Here is a 15,960-nt window from a genome sequence, read left to right on the forward strand (position 1 = left end):
CATTCTGTGGCTTTGCACCAGGAGAACAAATCTGTTCTTTCTGGAAGGAGAGGAGATTTCCAGCCAAACTGTTTGATGACTCTAACGTGGTCGATAATGCCAAGACTACGATAGGAAACAGCACTGCTTCTGACTTAAAGTCCAACCTGCTTATGGTTCCTAAGACATGTCCAGTTTTGTCAGAGATGTTCAAACCTCGAGAGCAGAGGGGCTCCACGCTGGCTGCACATCAGAATCACCTAGGGAGCTTTCAAAACCACCAACAGTCTGGCCTCACCTGACTCAAATTAAATGAGGCTTTCTAGGGGTAGGTGCTAGCATCACCCTCACCCAAGGTGATTCTAAACATGCAGCCAGCATTGAACTATGGGACCGGAAGGATTAAAGTGAAAAAGGAAATAGAACCAGAAAGAAAATGTTAAAAGAAAAAGGCAGAATAAAAGACAGAATGTTGCTATAAAAGGATCCCACCACCACTATCAAATAATTACAAACTCACCCAAGATCTCCCACAATAGCTCAGATCTAATTCCTTTCCTGACCCAGCCATCATCTTCTTTCCACCTGAAAATCCTTCTGGTATTTATAATCCTTTTATTTTTAAGCTACTAAACTAGAATTACATTCTGCCTACTGGAGAATACTTGCTTCTCATAAAATAGTTATTTGATTAGTTAAAAAGGTGAGACAAGTCAAGGTATGTGCTTGTTCTCTCATTCCTTTTCATGACTGGCTCTTCAAATAATTAAACTTGAATGGAAAAAAGGCATCTTGTTTCAAATAATACTGTAACCTGGGTATATCTACCTCATCAATACAAACTGATTCATCTGTGCTAAAAATGCCACATTCATGATAGTGTTAAAAATTGTGAGGCTCTTTTATCAAAGACCAGTTAGGAAGGTAAGATGGATTGTTAAAGATTATGTATGTAGACATCCATTCATAATCACCTTTTTAAAAATGTTGTAACTGAATGAGCCACTAAAGCTACACCAGGCTCATAATGAGGGGTAAAAAGAAGGGCTGCTGGTGGTACTGAGAGGCACAGAGACAGGAAAAGGAAGACAGAAAGGCAGTCTTCCAAGGCAGGGGGCAGGAGGAGAGGAAAAACTGAGCCAGGTCACTGCAGGGTGTGGCAGTGAGAGGTTTGGATAAGTGTGCCAGCTGCTGTAATCACCACTATCCACAAGCCAAACCCTTACACATAAGCTCAGAGATTCAACTTTTTTCAAAAGTTAATTTTTTAAAGCAAAACCCAAGTTAATAGAATGTTCCAGTAATCCCCTATCATCAAATTTTACTCAGTTGGTGGTGTGGAACTTCATTTATTCATATTTTTAGCTACAAAGTCAGGGCCTGCTTTCTCCCAACCATTTTCTAATCCTTCCCCTTCACACAGCACTCCCCTGACAGGCCTTATAGGCCTGGGGAAATGGGAGCCCCCTGTTTTACCCCGTATGCACTGACCAGCACCGGTGAAATTACAACACCCAGGAATGAAATACAAATCATTATTCCCAAATACAGACAGCATTTAGGCCTTTCCATTGCTCAACCGTTCATTCTCATGACCTGGATACCAAAGCAGACCTTCTGGCCAAAACAGCGGCTAAGTGGGTGTGCCACTTTTTTTTATTACTGTATCTCATATCAGATAGTTTAATTTTGTGTAATTTGTGGTATATGGCTGGATTACAAGAAAAAACAAAATGAAATCAAAGAAAATATAGAAGAAGGAGGAAGTGGAGTCATTGGTCCCCCCTTTAGTAACCAAAAAAGTACACTATAAAAACCAAGATTGAACCTTTGGTTTAATTTTTTTTTTTAAACTTTGATTACACAGTTGGGTCGGTTTGAGAATATGGTAATAAGTATAACCTTTAGAATGAAAGGCAGGATGAGCAGATGGAACCTAATTAATAGTGAAATATTATTAATCTGTCTCCCTAAGAGGAAGAAAAGTCAGTCATATTTTACAAAGGAATTTCTCTGTACAAATTAATAAAATCAGACTTACTATACAACAAGGGGCTCACTATGAAACAAATATGTTTGGTATAAACCTTTACCAAACCCCAATAATTAAAATCACTTCACCCTATCCTATAAAGCTTAAATATACCATTAATATGAAGCTCAGTTGTTATATATCACCACATTTTTTTACATTCATAATTTAATAAATATTATTTACAGAAAAAGAAGCAATAACTCATTTTTGGGAAGCCGGGAAAGGGAAAGATAAAATTAATTTACTATAAACTCAACTTTATAATTTTCCTGAAATCATAAAACTTATTTAGAAAAGTGTTCACATCTGAGTAGCTTCCCTGCAATGCCGGGGGTAACACCCATTCCCCTCAGTGTCCACAAGGGATTAGAAGCCCAAGATTCGGAATCAGACAGACCCAGATTTCTTTCTTGTTTTGCTACTGCTAGCTGTGTGCCACATGCAAGTTAATTAAGTCTTTCAGTCCTCAATTTACTGATCTCTAAAATGGGGATAAAATACGCACTTCAAAGTGTCAGGCATCTACATACCCAATAAATGATACCTATTCAGAGAAAAAGATATATAAACCTAAAAAAGCAAAAATGAAAAAGAACACATATTCATAGCTGGCAATAAGCAAAAGGCTTACATTTACTCCAAATATTTATTTTTTTAATTGCCTCAGAAAAAAATATTCCCTTCCTCCTATTTCTTGTCAAAACAAGATAGAAAAATAAAATTCAATGGGAAGCAGTACAGCTAACATTTTACTTAATACTACTTTGTTACAGGAAAATTCAATTTTCTTGTATTATTTTTTATTATGGCAAAAACATAAAATTTATCATTTTAGCCATTTTAAGTGTACAGTACAGTAGTGTTAATTATATGCACAATGTTTCCAACACATCTCTGAAACATTTTCATCAGCCAAAACTGAAACTCTATGCCCACTGAACAATAACTCCCCATTTTCCCCTTCACCTAATCCCTGGCAACCATATTTCCAGAGCTTGACTACTTTAGATACCTCATATAAGTAGAATCATTTTTCTTTCTGTGTCTGGCTTATTTCACTTAGCATAATTTCCTGAAGGCTCATTTGAGGTGTAGCATATGACAGGATTTCTTTTTAAAGAGTGGATAATATTCCATGGTATATAAATATACGCCACATTTTCTTTATCCATTCATCCACGGATGGCCACCTAGGTTGCTTCCATCTCTTAGCTGTTGTGAATAATGCTGTAATGAAATGGATGTGCTATTTCTTTTAGAAAGTGATGACTTTCCTTTTTTAAAAGTAATTTATTAATAATTTTGATAATTCAATCTTTGGCCTGCAAATATATACAAGTTATTTAACCTATAAAATTGAAATGTCTCTCTCTCCCAGCAAAAGGAGGTAGATGGAATTAGCAGGTTTTGACAACACTCCTCCATTCTCCCCGTCCAAAGTAGACATGAGGAAAAAAAAATACTGAAAATTCTATTTTTGTCACCACTGAGACTTTACATTCTGAGAAAATCAACAAACTGTAACAGTCCTAAAATGAAATCTCATTGGCACTTCACTAGACAAAACAGAAAGTCAGTTGACAAAAATTGAATTAGGTGGATCAGGACCCCAGGACCCAAGATCCAACATTTAGCTCTGGTACCTAATAACTGTGTGGCTTTGAGCAAGTTACTTACCTTCTCTGAGCTTACTTCCTCACCTGTAAATTGAGGTTTAAAACACTCATTTCTTTCAGGACTGTTGCACTGATAAGAACCACGCACATAAAAACTGTTTTAAGAAATACGTCATTTTAAATTTGATTACAATATTTTAAAAAGATCCATCAAAAATATTTAGTAAAGGGAATAAAAACTACTATTTAAATCATCTTAAAGCCTAAAATTAGCTATCGAAGTGAAATTATGTCCTATATATCTACATACCATAAGGTATGCATGAGTAGGCAAAGACAGATAACATACACAGTCTCGTCTTGGTCAAATTTGGTTTCCATCAGACAACCTAACAAATTCCAATGTAAGCTTCCACTCAGCCAACATTACTTGGAAATGGATTCATCTTCCGCAAAATTATTTCCTTCCACTGGCACTGACCCATCACCACAAAAACATCATCTAGTTTTTTCAGAGCACTGAATTAGTAGCTGGATGCAAGAGCTGAAGAACGTCTTGAAACATGGCCATATTGTATCACACAGAATATAGCTTGGAAAAATATTACTTTTCACAAACAAAAAACTTGGCTAGAGAAAGGGGGGAGAGAAGATTAAAACAAAATATCTCCCAGAAAAAAAGTGTAGAAAAAGGAATTGAAACAAAAACACTGAAAATTAAGTGTACTCAAGCCTTGTGTATTGTTGCTGCTTCCAGGAGATGAATTCTGAATATAACAAGATGAATTTCAACAGACCGTGAACCAGAGATTTTCAACATGATAAAGGGGAAACGATATATATTCAATTTTTACAAGCACTGAGTGAGCAGAAAACTGAAAATTCTTCAGCTGCTGATAATGCGCTGATAGAAGTGCATCCCCCGACAGAATTCCTAATGAACTGCCAGAAAAATGGAGAAGTATTAAACAAATGGAGAGACCTAATAATTATCTGTAAGCACACTAACATGGATCTCTAACAACTTCTGTAGTCATTTTCCTATTTTTAAATGAGATACTATTAAAGACCATTTGAATAATTTATTCAACCATTTACGATAACTTTAAGAGTCTTCAAAGATAATAGAAAATCATAAAGTAATATATGTAGGAGATAATGTAGAATACCTACTATTTATTGAGGTCCTACCACATGTCAGATACAATGATAGGTGCTTCACATTCCTCCCCACTACCCCTCTCTCAGTAACAAAGAGGAAAAGACACAGTGTTATTATTCACATTTTACAGATCAGGAATCAGAGGAGTTAAATAATTTTCCTTACTGCAGTCCTGCCCTGAGTCCTGCATAATTTTTAACATCTTATCCATAATCACTGGCTCTGACACCAAATTGAGTGGAAGAGTAAATACTCCAAAAGTGGAGAGGATAAGCAAAAAACTAAATTTCTCTATGAATGGAGGAAATTAAATTATAGGAAAAGACTAGTTATACTTAATATAGAAAAATCAAGGTTCATAGTGGACCACAGACTCTGTGCAAAACCAGATGTGATGAGAAATAAGAAACAAAAGAAAGACTGGACAATGAAACAGAATTATTTACTTGAAAAGTTTATAATCTTTCCTTTGGAAGGCTATGTACCCACAAAGCAACTTCTGAACCCATAAATACATACAGATAAACATACAGGTGGTCTTATAAAGGTCAGAATTCAGAATCAGAATTATGAACTCAGACCAGTATACTATGACACTAATTTTTTGCTCACGGCCAGTTATATTTAAATTCTCTACTCTTAAATCTCAATACAACATTTTTTCATGCTTTTTATCTAACATGCCGAATGATCTAAATGAAATTTTAATATTTCACTGTATGGCAAAATTCCACAATGTTTAACTCTTTACATCTGACTGTGAACCATTTCTTTTGAATTACATTCATTCTCTCTTAGCTTAATTCACTGAGTTAAAGATGCTCAAACAGACCAGGACTGAGTCAAATGAAACACTAAACGCCTGGATTGGGGGCATCCTACAGTTCAAAGCATGGCTTCCCTAGTCAGGAAGTCACTGTGGATATATTAAGGGAAATAAAAACATGCATATTTGGTTTTTCTGTGACTTAAGAAGTCTACGAGGAAATGGGCACGGGAACCAGAGGATAAAGATCAGTAGACACATATTTGAAATGATGTGTGTACAAGGTTATTCATTACAGCATTGTTTATACAGCAAAATACTGCAAACGATCCAAGGGTCCATCACTAGGGAGCTCCTAAACAAACTATAGCACATCTATACAATAAAGTGGTAGGAAGTTGTAAAGAATAATGAGGAAGGTCTCTTTATCCAGGTATGGACATATTTCCAATTTAAAAAGCAAGATACAGAACAGAGATATGCTCTGAGTATGATATGGTTTAAGTAAGAAAGTAGGGATTATAAAACATATATTTGCATATGCTTGCACAAAAATAGAATACTCAGAAAACTAATAAAAGTGGCTTCATATATGGGGCAGTGGGGAATAGGGTAATGGAGACAGGGACAGAAAGCAAGATTTCTCACTCTGTATCTTTTTCTATCATGTTGCTGTTTGAACCTTCTGAATGTATTAACTACTAAAAAGTAAAATAAATAGATCTACAGCCAATTAGAAATCGATAGAAAACTTTTTATAACATGTAGTAATCATAAATATCACTGCAGTCTAGAAAGATTTGTTAAATATTTTATGAAAAGTAGCTACCTATAGGGCATGGAACAAAACTTTAGGAATTTGATGAGAAAAGAAGAATAATTGCCAAAGTATGCTTCTAGGAAAATCCTACTGTAGTGCCATTGCTAGGAAGACTCCAGTGAGTTGCTCTCATTTTCAGAAATGCATCTCCGAGGCTGTGCCTTGCAGACACACAATGGCAGCTGCCTTTAGGCAGGTAGTTGGAAAAACCTGAAAGTACCTGCTATTGTCCAAAGCAGCAGCTTCCCTTCAGGACTCTCCTCAATCTCATGAATACCTTCCAAACTCAGTAAAAAGGAATGTGAAGTAGACAGATTCAAGAAATGAAAATTACAACAAAACCCAGAATGACAGAAGAACCTGGATGCTAAAGTTCCCCTGATGTCATCCAGATATTGAATATGACTGATCAGTGCCATTTTGGGTTAATCACAGGCTACTTCCCAGAGGAAGTGAATTTGAGCTAAGGTTTGAAGGTGACAGAAGGGAAATGAATGCCAAGTTAACAAGAGATGAATTGCAGTAAGATTTCACAGAGCTATGTGAATAGATAGAACAGTGGCACAGAAGCTGAAATGTGGGCAACTGTAATGGCATGCATTTAAGGGAAATGAATATAAATTACTCTTGGACGATGATCAGTTGGCTACAAGATGTCAGTTACAACCTAAGAAGAGGAACTGTTGGCCACTGATGACTATTCACTAACGATTACAACCTAATATACTGTGGTAGCCCAGAGGCCAGCAATAAACTGAAGGTAATCAGCTAAGTTAATAAAAAATGTTTCTCTTTTTTTTTTTTTGGCCACAGAGTCTCACTCTGTCCCCAAGGCTGGAGTGCAGTGGCAGGACCTTGGCTCATTGCAACCTCTGCCTCCCAGGTTCAAGTGATTCTCATGCCTCAGCCTCCCGAGTAGCTGGGATTACAGGCATGCACCACCATGCCCCCTTAATTTTTTGTATTTTTAATAGAGACAGGGTTTCACCACGTTGGCCAGCCTGGTCTCAAACTCCTGACCTCAAGTGATCCACCCGCCTGAGTCTCCCAAAGTGCTGGGATTACAGATGTGAGCCACTGGGCCCAGCCAAAAATGTTTCTCTCTTAATATACAATTCTGAAGTATGTTTAATCTGGTATCCCATCTTAAATCTGGACCTCACCCCGTGAAAAGCTGAGGACAGGTTAGAGGAGAGAAAGATTCCGTATCTTGATTAAGATACAGAAAAGCCCAGAAGACCTATAAAGATTGAAAGCCCTTTGTCTAAAATAATGAAAGCTGAGACAAGCAATGATCAAGTTCTTGTTACCTTCAAACCTGGTAAATGTGAAAAATTAAAGCTAGCAGTCCCTATAAAGTATGTGGAAAACTTAGAGAACTCATCATCCCTAGATGAGATACATGCTGAATCTACAAGTAACTTCGAAAGAGGTTTAGATTGTTTCATAGGAAAAGCATTCATAACATATTATTACTAGAAATCAGGACCATTCGTACTATGTTCCAAGGGAGGAGATCTTTGACTGTCCACAATGTTTTGGCCGCATTGGCAAAGAACTCATGACGCAATCTTACCTCTATCTCAGCTCCTATGTCAGCTGGCAGGGCTGACAGTGGGGACATTTCAAAGGAAGATAACGTAACCCATAAAGCAGAGCGTTAGGGAAGCACAGAGTAATTCACTGCCAGTCTCTGCCCACCACTGTACTGGGCTGCACCATCTTCAGGACTGTAGAAGTAAGTGTAACTCTGAGAAAACAACCAAAATGAATCAAGCATACAAAATCAAAGGAGGTTAGGAAATCTATATAATTTAATCTTAAGAAGAGAGCAAAATAACATGAAAAATTTCTCAGTTGATTAGGTAGATAAGGTAATGACCATCTTTTTAAAGAAAATAAAAGTCCTTAAGAGTTAAAATTAGAAAGAATTGCCTGCAACTGACATTAATAATACTTGCTAAGGGTAAGTGCAGTAACTGAACACTTATTAGTTGCTAGACATTGTGCAAGGTGCTCCAAATTCTTTAACTCATGTTTTTTCCTTTTCCTTTTGATCGTTACCTTTACAGAAACACACAAACAAAAAACAAAAACACCTAGATAATTTGTGGAGGTAAGCTGGAGTTCTATGAATTTAACTTCATGATGATGACTCGTTGAGACAATAAACTATGTATGCCACAATATTCACTAAAGAAGTAAGAAGTTTCCTCAAAAACCTATGTTTTTGGAGTCTTTCACAGCTTTCTAGGAACCAATTATTTTCCCCTTTCCAGGCTTATTGCATGTATTTAAACTATCCCTTAATTTACTGAATACTAACAATGAGCATTACTCCGAATTTAACGCTGGTGAATCTCGGGAAAGAGACGTGAGCTCACAGAGGAGGCAAAGAAGGAATGGTGATTTATGATCACAGAAAATGTGCACGTTATTAATGGGACTCAAAGCAAAAACATGTTTCATATGAGGAGCTGTTTTCAGTCTCCATTTAATGCAGGAGTTAAATTTGGAAAATCCACAGGTACCTCACTTATCTATATATAACATGGCTTTTCATAAAATGTTTGTAATTCTGAATATTGATGAGGAGTATATTGATGAGACAGAATTTGGGACTTCATTACCTCGAAACAGGCCTGTTAATGTATGTGGATGTATCATCCCAACAAATAACCATTCCAAGAAAGAAAAAAGTCACAATAACTATGGGGTAAAGATAAAAATCAGAGCCTATTAAGCCTGCCATTAGAAGGGAAAGTGGAATTGCTTCTCATTTTTTGGCCAACAATTAGGAAACCCAGAACATCAGGAACAAAACAAACGAACATTCAAGCTAAATGAAAACAGCAGTTTCAGAGCCCTTATACTTTGTTCAGCAGAACAGAGGTAGAGTGAGCTGTGCATTTTCCCCTCCATCCCCCAAACACCTCACAGGCTGGGGACAGGACTAATAATTTGACTTAATTACATGGTAATACTTATCTGGATTCAACTAGAAATCCTCAAACTGGTCCTAGCTTACAAACTGAGAAAGGAAAGGAAAGCCGATTTGGGATTCTGGAAGTCAGAGCAGGTTCCCAGTCGTTAGACGTGGCAGAGGAGAATAGAAATGATCACAAAGGAGGAAAAAGAAAGAAAGAAAAAAATACTAATTAGAAGAGCACAGTGACTAGAGGCCATGGGCTTTGGGATAAAAAGCCCTAGATACTGGCAGGAGGCAGGAGACGTAGCCATCTGGGAAAAATCATAAAGAAGTCAGGCTAAACCTACAGACCTCGAAGGCTCCCGAGTGCATTCCGGTATTACCAAGGAGTTCAATAAATGGTGTTCTTAATGAGGGTCCTGGTTCTTTGAGAAAACTCACCATACTTAGTCAAATCACTTCTTGTAATGACTGTGACATTTTAGAACATTTGCAATGAGAGCAGTTATAACTGTTTCATTGTTTAAAGGATTAAGCAGATTTAAGCCGAACTCCTCCTTCCTGGACACTCTAGATGAATTAGCTACTGTAAGGAAGGTTGTAGTTCAAGGTGCATCAAAGAGTCACTACTCCTTTTAATGGAATTTTCCCCCATTCCAGTCTTAGCTTAGAAAGGAAAGAATATACAGAATTGACTGTAGTTTCTCAAGGAAATATCATGGCAATTTTTATCCCTCACTTTCATATAAATTTAGAGGCTTTTCTAAGTGACAGGATAAATCACTGTCTCTGATACATGAGGATTTATACTTAACTGAGATTAGTAGGCCATACCTCAGGAGAACAGCGTTCTCATTCTGAACAATACGCATGAACCAAGGGAAAGGTTCCATTTTAGTCATTCACTTCCATAAAATGCAAGTTCATTTCAATTACTACTGTGGCTCACCTACTAACGACCAGCTCCAACAACATAAAAAACATTAAATCACCAAATTTGTCATCAGTGTTTTACATGTGTTTCCCATGCTTGGTAAAGTACGTTTACTGAGAGCAAAGAATGTTAGAAGTGGAAACAAGCTACAGACACCACTCTCGTCTGTCCTGACACTCTAACCGTGAGGAGCTGTGACTTATGTTAGCAAGTGAAAACTGGTAGGCATGAAATTTCTTTTACAAGAGCAAGCCAAAGTGATAGCAGAAATTTACTTTATATGTATAGCTTTACAGAACGGCAATGTGGTTCCTGCTCATAGAACAAAGTGAGTTAATCTACTTTGCAAGAGACAATGACCTTTCAAAGCAAGCTGTGATAGGTTTATCCCTTACCTTACAAAAAGAATATCAGTTCTTTAGCAAAACCATAAGGACAAGGTAATTTTGTAAGGACTAATTCAGGTACTCCTTTTTCAAGGTGAAGTACACACATTTCTCAAATCTTTGGGGACGTGAACCAATATTATTCTGCAATATGCATTTAAAAATCAGATAATTATTGGACAGCTAAGCATCTATAAGAGAATGGCTATTCCCAGTCACCAATATTAATCTTTTATTTATTTATTTTTTAAGAGACAGGGTCTACCTCTGCCACCTAGATGGGAATACAGTGGTGTATCACGGCTCACTGCCACCTTGAACTCCTGGGCTCAAGCAATCGTCCTGCCTCAGCCTCCCGAGTAGCTGGGACCATGTATGGGCTTGCACCTGGCTCTGATTTTTTTTTTTAACCAAACCAATTTCCTATCTTAAAAGTCACAAGAAGAGCACATTGGTTGTGTGGCTTTCATGTCTTACTTCTCAACAGCAATAAGAAATAAACATGAGCTGGAAGAGAGAAACAGAACACTAGTCTCAGTGAAGGAAATAACTTAATTCAGCACACTGCTCTACAAGCATCTGTCTTTGGTCTCACTGCATTCAAAAAATAACATGGAAAAAGGAATGGAGACATGAGTAACACATATAAGAAAAAAATAATTAGAACTTAAAAAAATAAATATCATAATGCAAGTTGCAACCCACTTGCCGTGCAGACATGTCAGAACACAGATCTGTAGTATCTATATTCATCACTGCCAGGCGTATTAAAATAGAGGCAGAATGTCAGTGGCAGGAGTTGGCATGTGTACGAAATGTTTAAGCGCCCTACATGATTCTGATCTGCCCCACTAGGTCAAAAATCACTCATCTATTCCCATCACGGTAGTTCACTCAGCGGTTCACTGTCTCACTTAGTGCTTAATTGCGGGATGTTTTCATAGGTCCACTGGCACCTAACTAGGTTCAGACTGTTTTAAGTCTCTCCCAATCTACAAATGGTTATCTCCTGCCTATTCATAGGCACCTGCACACCAGCAGCCTAAAGACAGTGGCCTAAACTAGTTAAACTAGTTGATTCTTCATAACTGTTTGCTTTTGATCAAAAAGGGCAGCAAGAAAAGGGCCAGTGGTTCCACTGGGAGGAAAGCCATGTGGGACAAATTAGGTGCCGCTGCAAGATTTAAAAGCTCGGGGGTGGGGATGGGGGGGGAAGCAGAGCTAACTAGAGGCAGCTGTTAGGATGTGGTTTCTGTGTTTATATTCTTCTCCTTCCCCCTAATGCCTCTTATGGGTATTAGGAAGGAAAGCATATATATGACCCAGCAGAGAGGATCAGCTCTCTTGACTGTGCATGATGCCGAGACCATAACTCAGCACATTAATGACAAAAGTTACCTGGCAAGAGAATGAGGTAAACCTTTATTTGAAAATTTTTTGCAATCTTCTTTTATCTAAACACATGAATACAGCAGAAAATTGCACTGTTAGCAGACGGCTGTCATGATAATAGTGAGAAACCTTATAGGAGCAATAAACCTGAGCTACCTAGAGATTTAAGGCTGACCTACCAGTCTGCAAATGGTACATCCTGTTGCTATTACGACCTTTACCCCCACCCCCCGCCACCCCGACAATTTCACCTTCAAACTCTCAACCCAAAATTTCAATATGGTTCATTGCCAGCACCTTTCTCTTTTTTTGGGGTGCAAAAGTGGTTCGTTGATCCATATGTATTTCAACAGGCTTTGACTGAGAATTAAAGTCACATACTATTTAAACAACACAGAGATTGCATTGTTCTTACAAGAACCTCCCTTTTCCCTGCCTGCCCCAACCTCTCTTCCCTTCAATATTGTCCTCAATAACAGGCTTTCTTCCCTCCTTGTAAAGCCCATATGGGGCACTGGGAGGAAGCAGGGGGAGGGCAAGTATTTCTATTTCTCTTGGCACTGAATAAAATGGTTTTCCAGGGGATGGAGTATCACTCTCATTTTAATAAAACTCCTGTTTCCTGTATAATATCACTCAGGTCACTTCAAGGTGAGAAGGTGATCAAAAACAGAGACGAGCAGTGGACTACACTTGTGAATAGCACTCAACAGGGCCCACATGCTCCAAATCAATGCAGCATGACCAAGTCCTCTGCCCAATCATCCAGCTACTCAAGTATTGCAAATCTTAAGAATTCTACGTGCTCAGACAAATAGCTGCTGCAAATACTTAATGCAATGAAGCCACTTTTTACTTGACTTTTTTTTTAAAGTCCTTTCCCAAACTGTGGTATTATTACCTGTAACATAATGAACATTAAAATTGATTTTCACCAGCTCATATGATTTGCCTACACATAAGGCTTTAATGCAGAGTAAAGAACAGATTAGAATAGCATTGGCCTCAACTTTTAAAATAGCTTTTCTCTTCCTACTGGGTGAATGAGTACATGAAGCCACTTGATTCACACAGGGAAACTTAATTCCTTCCTCATTCTCTGCCATCTATCCATCTACCTGTTTTGTATTATTTTTAATTGCTTTGATGCTGCACTCCTGCTACTCTACCCAAATCATAGACACACACTTGCACGTACAACACACACACACACACACACACACACACACACACACACACACACAGAGCTAGTAATGCGGTATAGCAGAATTTTTATCTGAGCCACATATTAGCTGTACGACTTTGGAAGGTTACATAATATCTCTAAAACTTCAATTTCCTCTTCCATAAAATCAAGATGATAATTCCTGCCTCATAGGGCTACAAAATATCACAGCTGTAGTAGGCGCTCTATAAATATTAGTTCCCATCTTTTCCCCTCTCTCCGTGAACAATGCACTCTGATATCCTTTAAATACAGACTTTACAGATCAATGAATAGAAAAGGGTTTCTCCTGGAGTTTGCTGATGCCAGGAACAGCGCCCTAATTTTTTTCTCTCCATTGTTAATTTCTTTTTAAAATACTTCTTACCCCTTCTTTCACAAATCTGTATTCTCCTATCCTAAGGGGATTGATATTTTCTTTGTTTCTCTATCCAATCTTTCTCAAAGGTACAGAGATCTAATATAACTATATTAATAATAGGTAAACAATTGAAACAAAAACATGAATATGGTCACTCTGCCATTAGCCTTGAGTTTCAAAGTTGTGTTTAAAATGCTAAAAATCTGCCACTGCAGTGAAAGCCAATATGAAGTGTATATCCTAAAAGAGATTGTCTGCAAATACAAATGAAAACATTTCTGAACCAGACTGCTATGACTAATAACACAATTTGATACATTAGAATAGAAAATGGTGGAGGTTTATGATCCTTCTCCCACCCCGGGTGGGAAGCACACTCGCACACACTTAAATAAAACGGCGAGTAGGCTAACTCGCTGCCTGCTAGAGAGGGCACTGCACACATTTCTTTTCCTTCTTCAAACATTTGCAGTAGAGTTTGAGCCCAGTTAATCAATACCTTAAAAAACCTGTTTTAAGACAACACTGTCTAGTTTGCTTTCTGGCCATTTCAGGTACAAACCTTTAAAACGAATTATATTTTTTTTCACAGATTTCAGATTTTACTAACCTATATTACAAGTGACTTTTAAAAATATTTTGCTACTGTTTAAATCAATACTCATCATGACATAGACTATGTATGATATTTGGTAGCTGAACTTGTATCTTTTCAGCTAAAAATTCAAAGTTGGTCTTCTTTTTCTCCTTCACCTCTCAACACAGTTTCTTCCAAACTTGCTGTGAGGAGTGGAGGGGGAGAGGAAGGAGGGAGTGTATGACCATAGGAGGGAGGAAAGCAAAAAACAAATAAATCTTCAGTGTCACAAAGGGCCTCACCTTGCTTACGGTGCATGACCCACATCTATAAAAAGACCTGGACCAGACAAACCTATTACATCCTTCAGCATTTCCTCCTCCCCCTAACACTTCTCTCATAACCTTCCAAAGCTGCCACCTTCACAATAAAATGCAGATAAGCTGTCAGAGCCTGGTAGTCCAAGCGATCTACTCTCCATCTGCTTGCAAATTTCATGGAAATTTTTAAAATTCAGCACCATATGAGGAAAACAACGTTCAGCAACGTCAAAACGAACACAGACTGAGTTATTCTCTGAAGAGGGCTGGCAATGTTACATCACTGCTGCTGCAATTAATTCTGAAGCATGAGTTGTACTTATCATACAGAAATGTGTAACTTCCCCTGAAGCAAAGGCTTCAAAAGCTAAATGACAGATGCCGGCCTCTAGGTGTCTTGTTTGCTGCTCAGAATGCTTGCTTTTCAGTTCAGTCCCCAAATGGCTCCGCCATTCTGTGATTCACATTGTACCTCCTTTTGAGCAACCGTGTTAGGAGACTTGATGTAGCCATCGATGCAACAAAATGAAGACAGATTCCCATGCTGTGGTCCACAGTCTCATACACAACTTAAAATGTTAAGCCTCATTCATCGTAAAAATTCACTGCTCAAACTCTAGTTTTCCTTCTTGTTCATGCAGACACTTTCAAATGTTATGTCCCATGTAGACAGATCTTTCTGCCTGCCTATCTCAGCTGAATATGTTCTTTGCAAAATATTCCCTTTGTCCCCTGCATGTCATGGTGCCGGGAGGCCACCAGCAGCAAGGTCCTGAGCTCCCAAGAGAGGTGCCCCTTAAAGCAGGAGATGGAGGCACCAAGTCAACTATAACTTCATGGCTGTGCTTTATCTTCCTACTGGGCAAGACACACCCACGACTTCATGGCTGGGCTCACCTTTCACAAAGTGTCAGCAGAGCTGCATGTGGCCACAGCCTTCACCCTTTATCCACAATGGCATTAATGATGGCCCCAAGCAGGCTGGTCCCAACGCTCGGTTTATTCCAGAAGCTGAATAAAGAGATCAGTTTCTGTGAATGTCCAAATACCCAGCCAACAGAACACTTTACTAGAATTGGGAGGGCTCTAGGCTTTTTCATTAAACCCTAAATAGTGGCTTTCTAATTGTGATATATTCAATAAATGGAGCACTACAAAACTTCCTGGTTGCTCTCTTCATCTACTGAATTCTGAGTGTTATAGTTCTTCCTGCAAAACATGGGCCTTGCATATTCCATACACATACATATACAGCTACAATAATTTATAAAAGAAAAAATCTCAAATCATCAAGTGGCTGTTAAATTAAGTAAGAAGGAAATAGGAAGAAGACCAACTAAAATTATACAATGTAATTAAAAGGGTATCCTCTCTACATTTCTAATAAAACGCACTTGGTTGTTATCATGTATGGTTGGGTACAGTTTCTACCCCAGCATCCAATATCACACAAAGAAA

The 15,960-nt window shown here is 38.1% G+C and overlaps 1 protein-coding gene across 2 annotated transcripts in view, besides 1 other annotated feature; it reads right to left on the reverse strand.

Moving 5' to 3' along the window:
• Positions 1-15,960, reverse strand: part of EFNA5 (ephrin A5) — a 294,044-nt gene that overhangs the window by 216,427 nt on the left and 61,657 nt on the right. The window lies entirely within an intron of this gene.
• Positions 5,648-5,942: an enhancer, noted in NCBI's record as "tiled region #6875; HepG2 Activating non-DNase unmatched - State 9:DNaseU". NCBI's record gives its function as "activates a minimal TATA promoter and a strong SV40 promoter by Sharpr-MPRA in HepG2 cells {active_cell/tissue: HepG2}" and the evidence as "EXISTENCE:reporter gene assay evidence [ECO:0000049][PMID:27701403]".

This window comes from Homo sapiens, chromosome 5, assembly GCF_000001405.40.
Source record: "Homo sapiens chromosome 5, GRCh38.p14 Primary Assembly".
NCBI lineage: Eukaryota > Metazoa > Chordata > Mammalia > Primates > Hominidae > Homo > Homo sapiens.